Here is a 19758-nt window from a genome sequence, read left to right on the forward strand (position 1 = left end):
AGGCCTAGGACATTATTGTACACTACTGTAGACTATAAGAAATTTATTTTTTAAATTTTTTCTTCAGTATTAAATTAACCTTATCTTACTATAACTTTTTTACTTTCTAAACTCCAGCTCTTTTGTAATAACACTTAGCTTAAAATACAAATGCATTGTACAGCTGTACAAAAATATTTTCTTTTTTAATATCTTCTATAAGCTTTTTTTTTTTTTTTTTTTTATGGAGTCTTGCCCTGTCACCCAGGCTGGAGTGGAGTGGTGTGATCTGGGCTCACTACAACTTCTGCCTCCTGGGTTCCAGTGATTTTCCCGTCCCAGCCTCCCAAGTAGCTGGGATTACAGGTGTGCACCACCGCACCTGGCTGTTTTTTGTATTTTTAGTAGAGTCGAGGTTTCATCATGTTGGCCAGGCTGGTCTTGAACTCCTGACCTCAAGTGGTCCACCTGCCTCAGCCTCCCAAAGTGCCGGGATTACAGGTGTGAGCCACTGCACCCAGCCCTATAAGCTTTTTTCTATTAATTTTTTTTAACCTTTTAATCTTTTTTATTAAAAACTAAGATGCAAACACATTAGCCTTGGCCTACACAGGGTCAGGATCATCAATATCAGTGTCTTCTACCTTCACATCATGTCCCACTGGAAAGTCTTCAGGGGGCAGTAACACCCATGGAGCTATCATTTCCTATGATAACAGTGCCTTCTTCTGGAATCTCCTGAAGAACCTGCCTGAGGATCTTCTTGCGGGGGTGTCACTCTTTTCAGAAATCTGTTCATGGTGGTTTCCTTGGGTTTGTTTCTGTTTTTCATCATAGATTTGCTTGTAAGCAGATCTATGAACATTCCTCTCTAGTAATGAAAACCTTTCATTGTTGGGGTTCATGTTTTCAAACTTGTTAAGCAGCTTGTTGAAGTCTGCAAAAACTTCTGCTAAACCCTTCACTGTACATTTTCTTGAGAGAATTATTCAGCTGCATTATAATCTTTTGGAACCACTGTTGTATATGTAGTCTTTGGTCGACTGAAATAATGTTATGTGGTACATGACTGTATCCAAATTGATGAGGTAATTCTAGTAGCTTATAAAATATCTTACATAACAAGATCCATGTCATTTCCCCCTGAATCAAGGACAAAGAAGAAAAAAGGTTTGTTATTTTAAGTATAACATATAATATTCAAATGTGAATTATGTTTGATTGTAGGTCAATAATTTTTGAGCCCCAGTTTCTTATGAGAATGGAATTGGTAGTGTGCCAGTTAAGGAAAATTTATGGTGACACTAGATAAACATGGCAGTAAGTAGAAGCAGTTCATTTTGTATAAGTTAAATCGTTACATTTATAAATATAAAGAATAGCCATTTAACTATTTTTTATAGGTTTTTAAATTATAGTTTTTACATCTTACGTTTTAGTTGAATGTTTTACTGAAATATATTTCATGTCATAGTATAGATAAAAAAGAATTTAAGAAACCATGTCATCTAAGGATGACTTTGTCTTCTCCAGGTTTCTGTCCTCAAGCGAAAAAATCTTGCCTGTTTTTAACTCTAGAAAAGTGGTTATAATTATTTGATTTTTCAGCATGCAAACTAGTAACTATTTACACATGATAGATATACTTTTTTTTTAGGTTTTTATTTTTTATTAAAACTATTAATGCACATATGGATGAAAGACTAGAGGTGCTCCCCAACTCTATTTCTGTTTCTTCCTCCCAGGAGGCTACTACATCGAACATTTTTAGCTGACTGTTTTGGTATCATGTCAGTAAATGGTGTGCTTATGTTGCTAATTCTTATTTTTTTGGTTTTAACCATTATGGAGGATGAGGATTTAGCTCTTTACATTTTCCTTCACCACGTATGCATATCATATACTCTTCCAATCCCTCAGTTCTTTCACCCTAATTATATTAGTAATTTTGATTAGATTAGTATTTGTTAGCAGATCCACTAGTAAATTGTAGTTGCTATTCTCTATTCCTGTATTTTCATTTTCTCAGACTTCATTTATTTGCTTCATTTTTTTGTATATGCCACTTGGCTATAATTCAACCCCGAAATCTGTGCTTGTTTTCAAAATCAACTTTCAGTGCATTCATTCTGATTTGTCAACTTCATTTTCTTGAAGATGTCACTCCTGGAGCCTTCTAAGCTGAATACGGACTCATTTTCTGAAGCTGGTGTACACGTGTCACCGATCTTCTTAGAAATTATCTTTGCCTTTTTCCTGAGTTGGGCCTTCTAGATCCTGTATTCTCTGTCTCCCTCTTTATGTTTTGCTTGTTTCATGCTTTGAGAGCAGCATGTCTTTTTTTTTGTTTTTGTTTTTAATCTTTCTGAGGAAAAGTGTTTGTGGTAGGTTAATTTTGTGAAACCTTATGAGCAAGTCTGAAAATTATTTTTAACTATCCTCACACTTGATTGATGGTTTGGCAGGGTAAAGAATTCCTGGGGGAAATGTTTTTAAAGGCATCATTGCATCATCTTCTACCTTTAGATGTCATCATTGAGCCATTCAGAATCATTCCTGATTCTTGACACGTGATTTTTTTCTTTTTTCTCAGTATTCTGATATTTCACAACAAAATATCTTAATATGAGTCCATTTTCATCTGTTTTGCTGGGTGCTCAGTGTACTCCAGCAACTTACATCTTTCATTTCTGGAAAATGTTAAATATTTCATTATTGTTTTTCTCCCCTCCATTTTGTCTCTCCTTTCTTTCCAAAACCCATCTGGTTTAGATGCCCTCTAATCAGGTTCTCTAATTTTCTTCTGTTTTTCTACTCCTGTGCTTTTCTACTTTTTGTGGTATTTCCTCACATTTACCTTCCATGATTTCCATTGAATTTTTTCTTTCTGCTTTTGTATTTTTATTTTCTAAGAGCTCTTTTGTTTCCTCTGTAACTATCTTATTCTAGTTTCATGAGTATGATATTCTTCTTTTTCTTTGATAATTTTTATAACTGTTTCTTTTTTCAACCTGAGTAGTTTTTACCTATTTGTTTATTTTAATCTCTTTCATTTACTAGGCTTTTCTCAGCTATCCAGTATCCCAAGATTCTTAGCTCATTAAGAGTGGGGGACTAAAAACCTGATGCTCTGATTTCATGTTGAATGTCACTGTAGCTAGTTTGTAGCTGGGTTATTTGGGGGTAATACCTGATCTTCATGTCTGTGTCTTTCTTGTTGACTGGTCATATTCTGTAGACTATGAAGAAGACTTCACATCTGCCTGGAAAGTAAAGACCAAGCTGAAGGCTTCAGATAGTCAGGAGGGAGAATCAGGTGGAGGGGTTTGTATCAGCATTTAATAATCCTGTCTTCTATATTATTTCATTGTCTTTGGTCGAGAGGTACCTCTTATCTTACTCTCTCCAGAAAATAAGCCCCTAGTTTTCAGTTCTGTGTAGTGGAGGAAGGTGGGTGATATGGTTTGGCTTTCTGTCCCCACCCAAATCTCATCTTGAATTGTAATCCCATAATTCCCACATGTCATGGGAGGGACCTGGTGGGAGGTAATTGAATCATGAGGGTGGTTTCCTGTTCTCTTGATAGTAAATGAGTTCTCACAAGATCTGATGGTTATATAAGCATCTGGTATTTTCCCTGCTGCCACTCATTCTCTTTCCTGCTGCCCTGTGAAGAGGTGCCTTCCACCATGATTGTAAGTTTCCTGAGGCTGGGGAGCCATGTGGAACTGTGAGTCAATTAAACCTCTTTTCTTCATAAATTACCCAGTCTTGGGTCATACCAGCATGGGAACAGACTAATACAGTAAGAAGGCATCCCTCTGTAAACCAGGAAGTGAGCCAGCACCTTGATCTTGGACTTCCCAGCCTTCAGACCTGTGAGAAATAAATTTCTGTCATTTAAGCTACCCAGGCTATATTTTTGTCATAGCAGCCTGAATTAACTGAGACAGTGAGCTTAGGACTAGCTGAGAAAACCAGCAGCTTTGCTGCCCAAAAGTTGTGGAGTGACTTGATTCAGGCTAGGGAAGAAAGAGAAGACACACAAACTAAACCTGTGACTTTGCTGGTGAAAAGTGGTGGATTTGGTTGGAAACAAATAGAGAAAACCTGCTGCTGTGCTAATTTGACATTGTGGACCAGCAGAAATTTAATAGGGAAATCCTAGAAATGAGAGAGCCATGGAAGGGTTAAGATGAGCTCTCCACATAGAGACCCAGGAGAGCCTGGAAAAAAGTGAAAGCTGATGGGGACTTGACAACTGGCTGCAACTTTGAATGCATTTCCCAGTCCATCACAGCTCAACTCACTGAGAGTGAAGTCTTAAAAGCTTGAGGTTTTTGAACACAGCCGTTGCTGATTTGTCCACAACATTGGCTCAAATGGCTGTTGGAGCACAATATTGGTCCATCATTAAGCTTTACAGACATAGGTACAACCCCAAGAGAGTCAGACTAAAATGTAAAAATAAGAATTAAAATATTAAACGGATGTCCTGACAGCATACCTTGGAGGGAAACAGATTCTGCAGTTTAAGTCTAGACCAATTATTTAAAAACTCAAACTCTGAAAAAAAAATAATAAATCTAGAGTTACTGTTAAGGGTTCCATATTCAACCCCAAACTGCTAGACATGGCAAAGAAAAGAAATACCAGGAAAATGTGAGTCATCATCGGGAAAAATAGTCAATAAAACGGACTCTGACTGGGCTCAGTGTTGGATTTAATGAAGACTTCAAATTGGCTATTTAGAATATATTGAAAGAATTAAAGGAAAATACAGTCTGGGCATTGTGACATGTGCCTGTAGTCCCAGCTACACAGGAGGCTGAGGTGGGAGGATTACTTGAGCCCGGTAGTTCAAGACTATGATCACACCTGTGAATACCCACATCAGTCTAGCCTGGGCAGTAAAGACCCTGTTTCTTTCAAGAAAAGAAAAAAAAAAAAAAAAAAGGAAAAAAGAAAAATATGTGAACAAGATGCTAACAGGACACAATAAATAGAGAACCTCAGTAAAGAAGCAAACTCAAAAAGAACCAAGTAGAGATTTTAGATTTGAAAAGCACAGTATTTGAAATGAAAATTTCATTGGATAGGCTCAACAGATTTAAGATGGCAGAGAAAATGTGAAGATCAATAAAAAGTATTCCAACAAGAGAAAGAAAAGAGATTTGTAAGAATAGGGAACAAAGCCTTGGAGACATGTGGGACAATGTCAAACATTCCAACACACATGTAATGGGAGTTTCAGACAGAAAGGAAAGAGAGAGACAGAAAAAAATATTTGAAGTAATAGTGGCCCCAAACCATCTCAAAGTTTTACTAAATTCTGGTAGAAAATAAAACTTAAAAAGAATTTCAGTAAGATGAAATAAGCACACTATACCCTAACTTGGCAGAGACAGTGAGCTCTGGTCCTTTCAGCTTCTGATAAGGGCATTCCTGCCAAGATGGGGGCTCCACCCTCATGACCTAGTCTAACCCTAATCACCTCCCCAAAGACTCCACCTCCAAATACCATCCCACTGGGAATTAGGGTTTTAGCATATGAATCTGGGAGGGACACAAACGCCTAGGCCATAGCACTGATCAAGCTTCGGTTATCACCAACTGAGCTGGGGCCCTGGGGAGGTACATGGGGACAGCCCCAGGCAAGAAGGCCACAGAGTCACACTGTTCTTACCTCAAGCTCTAGCAGTTTTGCCAGAATAAATGTGCCTCATTTTTATAACGGCCTTTGGGCAATTTTCAGCACCCTTAAAAGACTGCCTTTGATGATGCTGTCCAGTTTTATATTTGCTTTTTTGCAGAGGGGAACTGCCAATCTCTTCATGCCAATATTATCAGAAATTGAGTAATGTTTGTAATAAAAGATTTTCAACATTTTACTATTACTAAACTTTCATAGTCACAACTTTGTTATCAAGTGAAAGAAATCATTGTGATATGGGCAATATTGTTTCTAATGATGAAATTCATTAGGATGTTCACTGCAGCATTTCTTGAAGACATGGGAAAAATAGAAACAACTGCCATGTTCCTCAGACGCTAAATAAACTACACTCATCCTATGAATCTGCAACAACTAAAAGAATAACATGGTTTCATATGTACTAATGTGAAATGTTCTCCAAAATACATTTTTCTGTGGGAAAATAAGTTTCATATATCACTGATATAGTAAGATATTACTTATATAAATACAGTAACACATTATGTTTTAGATATTTATATAAGTATAGAAATGAAGCATATATCTTCATATTTTCTACAGATACAAATATGTAAATATGTAAGAATAGGTCTATAAAGACATAAAGAATAGGTCTATAAAGACATAAAGAATAGGTCTATAAACACATAAAAACAAAGTATAACATGCATTACCCCTAGGGAAAGAGCAGAGATGGAAAGCTGGCCAAGTTAAAAAGGCTCTTGTCTCTATCCAGTAATACCTGAAATTTTTTACAAAATTAATTTATGTATACCTGTGTAATAAAACAATAATTTAACAAATGGATTGCCCAAGCTATCAGCTATGTATATGGAAAGTCAACATCATGAGGATTCCTAGAAGTTTCTATACAAATTCACAGAGATTAAAGAAAACCATTTGATGAAATAAAATTAAGCACCCTTATATAAAAGATTTTATTAGGTGAAACATGCTTGGCATCATTTCTCAAGTCATGGATTTGTCAACCCAAAGATGATCTCCTTATATAGAACATTTCATCTTTTAAAATCCCATGACTTATATGTTAGTTTGTGCTTTTTATCATGGATTTCTTTCCTAGTAGTAAGCCATTTCAGTATGTGTCACATTCAATAATATCTTTTAATAACTTTAACAGGTGCATTTCAAGTTACAAGATTTCTTTATGCCTACAGTTAAGAATTACTATGAATGAAACTTATTAACAATTACTCTTAATTCTTTAAATCGTCATCTTATGAATCAAGTATTTTCTGCTAGAAATACTTTACCCTAATTACAACCTTCATAGATTGTAAAAAGGAAACAGACTCCAAGACACTGTGGCAATAAATGGAAATAATTTGTCTTCCACAGTTCTTTTAAGAAGAAAATGATTTTATAGGTGATAGGAGAGGGCCTTGAGATACTATGTCAAAGTGAATTTAAGTACTATCTTTATATTTTGAGCTCTGGCTTTTCATATTCTAGCATTTGTTGTTGAGATTAGTTTTTCACTGACACTTTGAAAAATTAGTCAGAAAGAGATGGTTGATGAGTTGCAGAATATAGATAAAATAGAATAGCATTTATGTTTTTAGTAAAGTAGGCATTTAATTAGGTTTTTTTTTGTTTCATTTTGTTTTTTTGAGATGGGGTCTTGCTATGTTGCCCAGACTGGTTTTGAATTTGGGCTTAAGCAATCCTCCTGCCTCAGCCTCCCAAAGTTCTAGGATTATAGGAATGAGCCACTGCTCCTGGCCTATTTACTTTTATTATACAGGTTGAGTATCCCTAATCTGAAATGCTTGGAACCAGAAGTGTTTCAGATTTGGGATTTTTCTGGATTTTGGAATATTTGCAAATACATAATAAGTTGTCTGGGGAGAGGACCCAAGTCTAAACATAAAATTCATTTATGCTTCATGTACACTTTGTGTACATAGCATGAAAGTACTTTTATATAGTGCTTTTAATTTTGTGCATGAAACAAAGTTTTGACTATGACCTGTCACGTGAGGTCAGGTGTGGAATTTTCCACTTGTGGTGTCCTGTTGGTGCGCAAGAAATTTTGGAGTTGGGAGCATTTCAGATTTTTGGATTAGAGATGTTCAACCTGTATAACCTTATGAGTTGTATCAATGTCATTTATATTTTTCAGGTAAGAAGATAGATGTGTGGTTAGATTTTTTAAAAATACTACATTGGGGAAAATGAGATTATAATTCAGAATTTAGTTTTTACTCTATTTAATCACTCCTTTTGCCACACATGTCCTCAGCATTTATACTGGAGTGTTTTATGAAGCAATTCATTATTATTATTCTAACATATAATGAAATGAAGCCCTCTTAATGAAAATGTCATTGCTACAACCTGTTTAAAGGACAGTATGACAGTATCTGACAATTGAAAAATCATGTATCCTTTGATCTAGGAATTCTACTTTTAGCTCTTAGTGTTTACTTGCTAATGTATGTGTATCTCTCTCTCTCTCTCTCTGAACACACACATGATATATATGTGTATATATATGTGTATATATGTGTGTGTATATATACACGTGTATATATGTATGTGTATATATACATATATGTGTGTATATATACATATATGTGTGTGTATATATACATATATATGTGTGTATATATACATATATGTATGTATATGTATGCGTATGTATACACACACATATACATATGTGTGTGTATGTGTATTTGTTTTTGGATGCTGATTGCCACACTAATTACAACTGCAGAAATGGAAGCAGCCTGTATGTCTTTCAGTAGAGGACAGACGAGATAAATTTTGATGCATGCATACAATGAAGTACTAGGTATCTCTAAAAGAATGAGCTTCAATATGGAAAAATCACTAAGATTTTATTAAACAATTGCATTCATGTAAATAAAAATTGATGTATTCAATTTTGTCTGAAAGTTTTGTGTAAATTTGTCTAAAAGGCTAGAAAGAGACTTCTTTAGGGGAGAAGATCAGTTTTTGTTTTTTGATTTTTAAATATTTCAATGTAATTAGACTACATCTTTTACCACATACATGTGTGTTTATATACACATACATACACATATTTATATACATATGTGTGAACCTGTAATGGATTTTTTTAAATGTTATATGTAAAGGTTTTTTTACTCACTGTTCATCACAACTTTGGAGTCTACTCCATTATCTCCTGTTGTTCAGTACTATCAGTAATAAATGTCATGCAGGTTTGATTATTGTTCCTTTTACATTAACATTTTTCTTTCTGGAAATCCCCATTTTTTTATGTTTTAAACATTCTGAGGTTTCACTTAGTGTTTCTAGATTTGGGCCATTTTCATTCCATCTGCTCTGCACATGGTAGACCCCTTCATTCTAAAGTTTTCTGTGTCATTTAAACTCAAATACATTTTCTTCTATTACTTCTTCAACTATTTCCTCTCACACTTATTCTATTCTTGTCTTATGAAACTCTTAATAGGTAGTGTTGGATTTGCTTCTGGGTTCTAACTTTACTCATATTTGTCATCTTTGTTCTGCATTTGGAAGATTAACTTGACTTGATTTTCTGGATTAGCAGTTTCAACTTTATTCTGTCATTTAGTCTGCTGTTACATTTTAATTTTAATTTTAATTTTTGTTTTTATTTTAGAAACAGTGTCTTGCTGTTACCTAGTAGCACAGTCACAGCTCACTATAACCTTGAACTCTTTGGCTCAAGTGATTCTGCTGTCTCAGCCTCCCAAGTATCTGGGACTACAGGCACATTGCCACCATGCCCAGCTAACTAATTTATTTATATTTTCTTTTTGTAGAGATGAGGTCTTTCTCTATTGCCCAGGCTGGTCTCAAATTCCTGGCCTTAAGCCATCCTCCCACCTCAGCCTCCTGAAATGCTGGCATTACAGGTGTGAGGCAGCATGGCCAACCTTAGATTTAAATTTGACAATAATGTTTTTAAGTGCCAGGAACTTTCTTATTTTTTGGTTGCTCCTTTGCTTCCTTTTAGTGACTTGTTCTTTTATGAACACAGTAGCTTCTCACATATCTCTCAGAATGCTAACAAAAATAAAATGTTAAAATTCTCTTCTATTCTCAGCACCATCTGTTTTTCCCCCAGTTTAGTTTGCTTAGTTTACCCGCTGTCACTGATGTTTTCTTCAAATGCCTGGTGATATAATTGCTGAGTTTTATTTATAAATGAAGGACTAGGGTGATGATTCAGGATTATATCTGATGAGGATTTCCTCTGTATTTGTGTAGGCTGCTCCTCCCCTCCTCCCACCAGCCTTCTACCTGGAATGGGACGTCATGGTCAGGCACTGAGTAAGTGGTGGGTTTGTCCTCAGGCAGACTGCTGCTTCAGATTTATAGGCAGAGAGCAGGTGGGAGCCCTTAAAATAACTAAATTAAGAAGGAAGAGTACTCTGGATATGGGACATATTAGGGTAAGGCTTTGAGTGGAAGAACAGAAGGGAAGAAAATGGCACCACCCCTAGAGTTACTGGGAAATGTATTAAGGGGAACTTTTGGTTGTTATAACACCTGTGGAAGACAACAGCCGTTTGATGAAAAAAGGAATTTTTTTCTCCCTAAGTGCCAGTGGTTTCCTGTTTGAAAAACCCTGCTTTAGTGCATTCACTCCTAGGCAATCTCCCTTCCTCCATCCCTCCTCCTCTAGTGTCCTTTGCAAAGAACGAGATCTACCTCAGCCTCTACTCTCTTTTTTTTCAGGCTCCCACATCCCCATTCAGAGCCCTCCCCAAAGAGAACAAACCCCCACTGTCTTTGGAAAGAAGTTTGTGGTATTTAGTCAGGCCAAAATGTGGGCTCTTCTATATGCGATTCCTTAATGGCCTGGAATGACTGCCCCTCCACTGTGCCTGCACTTTGTTGTTGTTGTTGACTCCAAGCTTGAATTTTCTCTAGGAATGGTTTAGGAAATTCAGCTCTACATTTGTTTTAAGGCTTTAAATACTGATCATAAATTCAGTGTTTTTAAGATGAATTCAGTTTAGTTTTTTCCACTAGGATACTTCCAGTGGTGTGTCCCCGTGTGTCTCATGTTCTTAACACCCCACCAAACCCATCAAATAAAGAGTTAACTGCTTTCCCTTATTTCCACAATACTAATAATGCAGTAGGAAGTATTGTTCTAGGAGTTTTCCATGTATTATTTAGCAATAACAAACCTGTGAGTTAGATACCATTGTCATTCCCCCATTTAACAGGTGAAAGAAACCCACTTTAGGAGGGTAAGTAATTTACCCGGGTTTTCAGGACTAGTTAAGTGGTAGAATGCAGGTTCTTTACCACTGTGCTGTATCACCTTTTTCTGTGATTACTTTATGATGATCTTATCACCAGTTTCATACATGTGTTTATACATTTTGGTCTACTCTAATAAATTTGAGTTTTTGGGGAACAGATGGTTTGTCCATATATTTTCTTCAACATCTAACCACGTGCATAGCGTCTAGCTGTGAGTAAATACCTATGGAATTAGCTGTGCGCAAAGTCCTACTTTTCTTTGATTCAATGAAATATTACTAAATTACAGTTTCAAGATAGTAGTTTGAGAGGGAAGATATGGATAGCATATTGTCAGTTTATAGAAAATTATTTTTATTGATTTAATGTTTTAAGTGAACTCTGGTTATGGTCAAATCAGTATGTGAAAATAGTTGCATCAAAATTTAATCTTAAGAAAATGAAATTTCAGTCAGTTCTTTTTTCTTTATCATCTCTTGGAAATGTACTTTACAAAATAATGTTGCTGCTGTATTGCAAAAACCTTAGAAATAGTGCAGATGACTTTTAAGTGCTTCCTTTAAGAAAATACTTAAAAATAATGCATAGAATGAGATTTTGTTTTTCATTTCATGGATACTGTAAGTTATGCAACATGGATCTGGTGAAATAATTATTTTATCTGTAAAATATAAGAGCAGAAGTAATTTTTAACATCTTATGAATGCTTAATTTAGCTGTCATATTTTCAATGGAAATTCAGTTTGTTGAATTAAATGGGTGTGAACCTATCACCTAATGTAGTTACAAAAGGATTTTTAATATTAAAATAGGCACGGCCTAGTATATTAAGAATAGCTCATTTACTTACAGTTCTAAACCTGGGTAGAAATGCTTTTGTAAAACAATTGTTACAGAAAACTTCTGGGGCAGAATATAGGCGAATAAATAACACTTTTATTACATTTCCTTAACATAATAAACTGTATTGTAGACAGCTAGAAATACATTTATAGGCAGGAAGTATTACCGTAAAAGCTTGCCATTTTAGTAGACTAAAGATGCCACTTCTATCTTTATGCCTTGTTATGCAATTCACGGGAAGTTGATAGCTTTAAGAGTACTACTCTATAAACAATATCACCTTTTGCTGCTTCCAAGTATTACACAATTTTATTTATAAATAGTAATATGTACATTTAAAACTATTCTTGATTTTGGTAACAGAAAAATGTAACATTTTTGTGACTGTGAAACTATGCCACCAAGAAGTAATGATGTCCCAGATGTGGCCTAGTTGTTGGGGATGCAAAGATGATTTCTGCACTCATAAAACTTAGAGTTTAGAAAGGAAGTTGCACATTAAATACCAAAAAATTTAATTATATAGGTTTATCAGAATTATGAAGTATAGAGTACTATGAAAGTATGTCTTAGGAGAAGTTATCCTAATTAGGGCAGTTAGGGACATTGATATTTTGCCCTTAAAGAATGAGTGTGAATTAGGTATGCAAAGATGGTTGTGTATAGGTGGTGGTAAGTGCAGGGAGGGTTTTGCATCAGGGCTGGGGTAATACTGGTATGTTTAAAGCTGTGGGAGTGGTGCAAATTGAATCTAGCAATATATTAAAATGCTTATAAGCCATAAAATCACATTTTAATTCCTCATAAGTTATATGTAGATACCAGGCTGTTGGGGTAGTCTGGGTACGATATGATAATGGCAAGGACTCATTAGGGGGTGATGGAAAGAAACTGATAGATTCTAGATTCTAGAAATATTTACGAGGTAGAATTTACTGCTTCTTTGCTGTGTCTGTTTCTACTCCTACCACTTTTAAGCTTTGAAATACTTTTGAATATTTTTGTACAGTGTTTCTCTTTAGCTATTCCCTTTGTTCATGTGGTTTTTTGCCTTAATACTTTGCTGCTGTTTTAATAGAGATTGTGAAGAAAAAGAATATAAACTCAGGTAGTCAATCTAACATATTTTACTGAACCCTAGGCCCACTGATTTGAAATGTCACCTTTATTGTATATTGTTTCATTTAACTACTCTGAAGATTTGTCTGTTCCTATGATAATACTGCACTATTTGAATATACAGTGTTTTTACAGTTGATAGCAGGTACCTCCTTGACATTTATGCTTTCCTAAAAAATCATGTTGGCTAGTTTTACGTACTTTCTTTTTCAGGTAAATTTTAGGATAAATTTACCCAAAATGCTTTTGGGATTTCTATTAGGATTTATTCATTTTTTTTTAAAGAATAATTTGGAGAGAATTGGCATTTTTACGTTATTGGATCTTCTTACCTCAGAACACGGCTTCTCCATTTAATCAATTTATTTTAAATGTCTCAGCATAATTTTAATAATTTTCATATCTGTCTGAACATTTTAGTCTTATTTGGTTATTACGATTATTTAGGAAAACTGTTGATTTTTCTGTGTTGCTCTTATTTATAGTCAGCCAAACTCTCATAAATAACTTTACTAATTTTTTCACTGATTTCTTCAGACCTTTCTGCAGTTCTTGAGAATGCACTTATATCATCTGCATTTCTTAAAATGCTATGTCTTACTACATTACTTAAAACTTAAACTACAAGTTTGAAAAGTAGTCATCGTAGTGGGCATTCTTGTCTAGTCCCTGACTTAATAGTAAAGCTTCTGACATTTCTCCATTAAATGTGATGCTTCCTATAGAACCTGGTATAAAATGACTCTTATTTCCTTCTGTTTTTACTAAGGTAAGGTTTTTTCCATCAGAATTGGGATTTGAATTCTATCTGATATATCTTAAGCATTGAGATGAGTTTGGGTTTTTTCCTTATTCTATGATATTATATTAAATTACATTATAATTTTTTAACTAAGTTTTGAAGTCTATGTAGAAATTGGAAAGCTTTCAGTCTTTTCTGTTTTGTTTTAAAAATGAATTATCTCCATCTTAAAGGTTTGATAGACTTTATTCTTAAATCTCTCCAGATCTCATGCCTTTTTTTAAAGAGAGGACCCTTGGAAATCTTTCAGTTTCTTCTATTTGATCTATTTCATTTTTTACTTCTTTCTTTGATAATTGACATTTTCTTAGAAAATCACCTACTTGACTAGATTTTTAAAATAAAGTTGTTCATTGTATTCTTAAAAGAGATTTAAAAATCTCTATACCTACAGTTATTTTCTCATCTCGTTTCTAATGTTATTTGTGTCTTGCCTTTTTTTAATTAATTGACACATTAATAATTGTACATATTTATGGGGTACTTAGTGATGTTTTAGTACATACAATGTTTAGTGATCAGATCAGGATAATTAGCATATCCATTGTCTCAAACATTTTTCATTTATTTGTGTTGGGAGCATTCGAATATCCTCTCTTCAGCCGCTTGAAAATGTATACTGTTGTCAACTATGGTCACCTTATGGTGCTATAAAACACTAGAACTTATTCCTCATATCTAGCTGTAATTTTGTGTCCTTTATCACATCTCTTCCTACCCCTTCTTTCCCCCTATTCTTCCCTGCCTCTAGTAACCTCTGTTCTACTTTCTACTTCTGTAAGATCAACTTTTTTAGCTTCCATGTAAGAGTGAGAACTTGTGATGTTTAACTTTCTGTTCCTGATTTATTTCACTTGATATCCTCCAGTTCCATCCAGGTTGCTGCACATGACAGGATTTTATTCCTTTTTATGGCTGAATAGTATTCCATTATGTATATATACCACATTTGCTTTATTCATTTATCTGTTATTGGACACTTTGATTGATTCTGTATGATGACTATTATGAATAGTGCTGCAGTAAACATGGGGGTGGCACAGATATCTCATTAATACACTGATTTCCTGTACTTTGAATAAATTCCCAGTAGTGGCATTGCTGGATGATGTGGTAGTTCTATTTGTAGATTTTAAGGAATCTCCCTACTGTCCTCCATTGTGGCTGTACTAGTTTACATTTCCACCAATAGTGTAAAAGAGTTCCTTTTTCTCCAAATCCTTGGTTAAATTTATTCTTAGGGTTTTTTTTCAGTTATTATAAATATAATAGCTTTCTTGATTTTTAATGTGTGTTGTTTGTGTATAGATATACTACTGATTTTTGTGTATTTGTGTTCTGAAACCTGACTAAATTTATCAGTTCCAAGAGTTTTTTTGGTAGTCTTTTAGGCTTTTCTTTATTGTAAGATCATGTCATATGTAAATAGTAACAATTTGACTTCTCCCTTTCCAATTTGGATGCCCTTTATTTCTTATTTGAAGAGAGACAAGGACATTGTAGTAAAAGGGTAAATTAAGCAACAGGCTAAATCAATTATAAATGCACACAACCCTGGAGCACCAGATATAAAAGGAAGTATTATTACATCTAAAAGGATAGACCCTGATACAATAATAGTTGGAAACTTCAGCATCCCATTCTCAGCATTGGACAGATCACCTAGTCAGAAAATCAACGAGATACCAGATTTAAACTGCACCATAGGCCAAATAGACCTAACAGACATTTACAGAACATTTCACCCAACAGCTGCAGAATACACATTTTTTTCGTCAGCACATGAAACATTTTCTAGGAAAAATAAAGGCAAACATACAATGTCAAAGGAAAGAAAAGTAATGAGAAGTACTGCCAACCACATTTATGACCATATGTTAGGGCATACAAGTCACAAAAATTTTTAAAAATCAAAATAATATCAAGTATCTTATCTGACCACAATGAAATAAAACTAGAAACCAGTAACAAGAGAAACATAAAACTGTACAAAAACATGGAATTTCAACCACATGATCCTGAATGACCAATGAATGAAGAAATTTAAAAGGAAATTTAAAAATTCCTTGAAACAAATAAAAATAGAAACACAATATATCAAAACCTGTGAGATACAGCAAAAGCAGTAGTAAGATACTAGTTTATAGCAGTAAATGCCTGCATCAAAAAAGGAGAAAGATTTCAAATAACCTAATGATGCATCTGAAGGAACTAGAAAAACAAGAACAAACCAAACTCAAAGGTAGTGAAAGGAAGAAAATAATAAGGATCAGAGCAGAAAGTAAAGACTAAAATAATACAAAGTCAACAAAAGAAGTTGGTTTTTTAAAAAGATAAAATCAACAAGAAAAAAAGAGCAAATCCAAATAAAATCAGAAACAAAACATGTCATAACTGATATTACAGAAACACAAGGATCATTGAAGACTATTAGGAACAACTATATGTCAATACATTTGAAAATCTAGAGAAAATAGATAATAAATTCCTGGACATATAAAACCTACCAAGATTGAGTCCAGATGAGATAGAAGACCTGAACAGACCAACAATGTATGATACGACTGAATCAGTAATAAAAAAAAAGACTCCCAACAAAGGAAAGTCCAGGACTGGATGGCTTCACCACTAAATTATCTTCTCAAACTATTCCAAAAATTGGAGGGGAGGGAATTCTTCTAAACTCATTCTACAAGGCCAAAATAACCCTGATACCAAAACCAGACAAGGACATCACACAAAAAGAAAACTACAGACCAATATCCCTACTGAACATAAATGCAAAAATCCTCAACAATATTATCAAACCAAATCCAACAACACATCAAAAAGATCATACAACATGATCAAGTGGGATTACAGGGATGCAGCAATGGTTCAATATACACAAATCAATAAATGTGACTCATGAACAGAATGAAAAATAAAAACCACATAATCATCTCAATAGATGCAGAAAAAGCGTTTTGTAAAATTCAACATTCCTTCCTGATAAAAACTCAATAAATTAGGTAGAGAAGAAATGTACCTTAACAAAATAATGGCCATATATGGCAAACCCACAGCTAATATCCCATTGAAAGCTGAAAAGCTTTGAGCTTTTCCTGTAAGGACTGGAACAAGACAAGAGCATCCACTCTCACCAGTCTTATTCAGCACAGTACTGGAAATTCCAGCAAGAGTGACAGAAAGGAGAAAGAAATAAAAGCCATCCAAATTGGAAAGGGAGAAATCAAATTGTTACTGTTTACATATGGCATGATCTTACAATAAAGAAAAGCCTAAAAGACTCTACAAAAAAAACTCTTAGAAATGGTAAATTCAGTAAGGTTTCAGAATACAAAATAAATACACAAAAATCAGTAGTATTTCTATATACAAACAACACACATTAAAAATCAAGAAAGCCATTATATTTACAATAACTGAAAAAACTTTTAAAGTCTGTTTTATCTGAAATGAAATAAGTGTAGCTTTTGGTTTTCATTTACATGGAATATCTTTTTTCATCTCTTTGCTTTCCCTCTGTGTGTCTTCACAGTTGAAATGAGTTTCTTGTAGGCAACATGTAATTGACTCTTGTTTTTTAAATCCATTCATCCAGTTTATATTTTTTAATTGGGGAATCCAATCCGTTTACAGCCAAGGGTGTTGTTGATATGTGAGGACTTACTCCTGTCATTTTGTTGTTTTATTTTCTCTTTAAAAAATATCCCTTGTTTCTTACATTCTCTTATTGTTTATTTTTGTGGATGAGTGGTTCTCTGTAGTGATGTTTTGATTTCTTCGTCTATGACTTGATGCTTTTCTTTTGCTGTTTTTAGAACTCTTTGTCTTTGACTTTTGACAGTTTGAGTATAATGTGCCCCAGAGAGGACTGTTTGGATTTTATCAATTCGAGGACTTTTGTGCTTCCTGGATCTGAATGTCCATTATCTCCCAAGACTTGGGAAGTTTTTTACAACTAGCTCATTAAATATTTCCTATGATATTTCCCTTCTCTTCTTCTTCTGGAACTCTCATAATGTGAATATTTGTTCACTTAATAGTATTCTTTAAATTATTCTTTTTTTCTTTTTGTCTGCCTTAGTTATTTCAGAAGACCTGTCCTAAGTTCAGAAATTCTTTCTTCTGCCTGGTCTAGTCCTTTGTTGAAGCTCTTCATTGTATTTTCTTCTAATTTCATTCATTGAATTCTTCAGCTCTAAGATTTCTGTTTTCTAATATCTCTCTCTTTTTGAATTTCTCATTCAAACAATGAATCATTTTTCCTAATTTTGTTGAATCATGTATCTATTATTTTGTATCTCACTGTTTCCTTACGATTATTATTTTGAATTCTCTTTGTGATATTTTGTATATTTCCTAATAATTGGGATCTGTTATTGGAGAATTACTGTATTCCTTTGGAAGTGTCACGTTTCTTTGTATTTTCATGTTTGATGTAGCTCTACATTGATTTATTTCTACACATATGGTAGAAAAGTTGCCTTTTCCAGTTTTATGGAGTTGTTGAAAAAACTTAGAGTATTGGTTGCGTGGGGTGCATTCACTTTGTTTTTAGGTAGACCCACTTGTGTAGTCTCTTTGCAGATTCTTCAGCAGTAATCAATTTTAGTGATGTTTGTAAGTGTTTCAGTGGCCTAAGCTGCAAGAGTTTGTGGCTGCGATGGTGCAGCTTTGCCAGGGGTGGGCTCACTGGGCTGTTTCTCAGGTCAGGGGTGCATGAGTGAACGCTGTGATGAGGCAACCAACTTGGTGTCTGGCTTGCTGGGATTATGGCCATGGGGCTGTTACTCTGGCTGGTGGCATGGGCACATGCCTGCTTGGCTGGCTTGGAGACACAATGCCTGGGTTGGGGCCACTGGGCTATTTCTCAAGTTCTCAGGGGTGGTGTGCAGCCACTCGGCCAGTCTAGGGGCATGTCTGCCAGAGGAGAACCTACTAGTCTGTTTTTTAGGTTCTGGGCTGGGTGCACAACTGCTTAGCCAGTCTGTGGGCATGTTTGTTGAGTTCAGGCCTCCTGGAGTATCTTAGGGTGTAGGTGCCAATGTGGAGCCAGTTCAAGGACATCTTCACCAGAGGCTAGCCTGCCAGGCTGTTTTTCAGGCTCAGGACATGGGTGTGCAACTACCCGGCCACCATGGGGACATGTCAGCTGCTCAGTTGCTCAGGGACCTCTGCTGCTCAGGGGAGGGCATACAGTGGTGTGACTGGCTCAAGGGTGGGTTCTCCCTGGATGTGTCCACCAGACTGTTTGACCAGAAGTGCTGGCAGCAGGGATTGGTTTCCTTGCTCTGCAGGACCAGAGCCACAGCAGATCCTGTGCTCAGGCTCTGTGCAGCTGGGGTTGTGGCATTCAGACACCTGTGTGGACTTAGTGGAATGAAAACAACTCCTAGGCTGGAAAAGTGCAGGGTGTACTTCAGAAATGGTTCTGGTCTCAAGGTGATCGGTGACATGCTGCAGCAGCTTGGCTCACAAGGGAGTAAGTGCAGATCTTGTGCTCCCAGTCTGGGGGAATACAGCTGTGTGAATTCACAGCAGCTCCCCAAACTGGGCTCAGGGCTTGCAAGGACTGTGGATTCTCCTGTAGTAAGGATTGCATGTGTTTGCAGTGGGAGTGGAGGCTGCTGAGGTTCCTCTGATTACCTTCCTCCCCTACCAAGCCTCCGCTCCCACAAGGAGAAGTCCCTTCTGACTCTGGGCCATTCCAGGCTCGGAGGATGGGATGGCAGAGGCAGGATGCCTCCACGCTGGCCTTGTGGGCTCCCAGTCATCACAGGTACCTCTCCACTTCCCTGCTGTACTTCGGCACTCTCCCTTCAACACTCCAGTCAAATCTTAGCTGTTTATTTATTGCCGTGGTCCTTTCTTGAAGCGGAGGAATGTGCACCAGACACTTACCGTCAGCCATCTTACTGACATCACTCTTCGTGTCTTGTCTTTTTTTGATTAGACTAGCCAAGTATTTGTCTATTTAATTGGTCACTTGAAAAAGCCAGCTATTTACTGACTTACTGATTGAATCTATCTCTTTTGA

At 35.6% G+C, this 19758-nt stretch overlaps 1 protein-coding gene across 5 annotated transcripts in view; it reads left to right on the top strand.

Moving 5' to 3' along the window:
* PALS2 (protein associated with LIN7 2, MAGUK p55 family member) overlaps positions 1-19758 on the top strand; it is a 120742-nt gene that overhangs the window by 25851 nt on the left and 75133 nt on the right. The window lies entirely within an intron of this gene.

This window comes from Homo sapiens, chromosome 7 (assembly GCF_000001405.40).
Source record: "Homo sapiens chromosome 7, GRCh38.p14 Primary Assembly".
Lineage (NCBI taxonomy): Eukaryota > Metazoa > Chordata > Mammalia > Primates > Hominidae > Homo > Homo sapiens.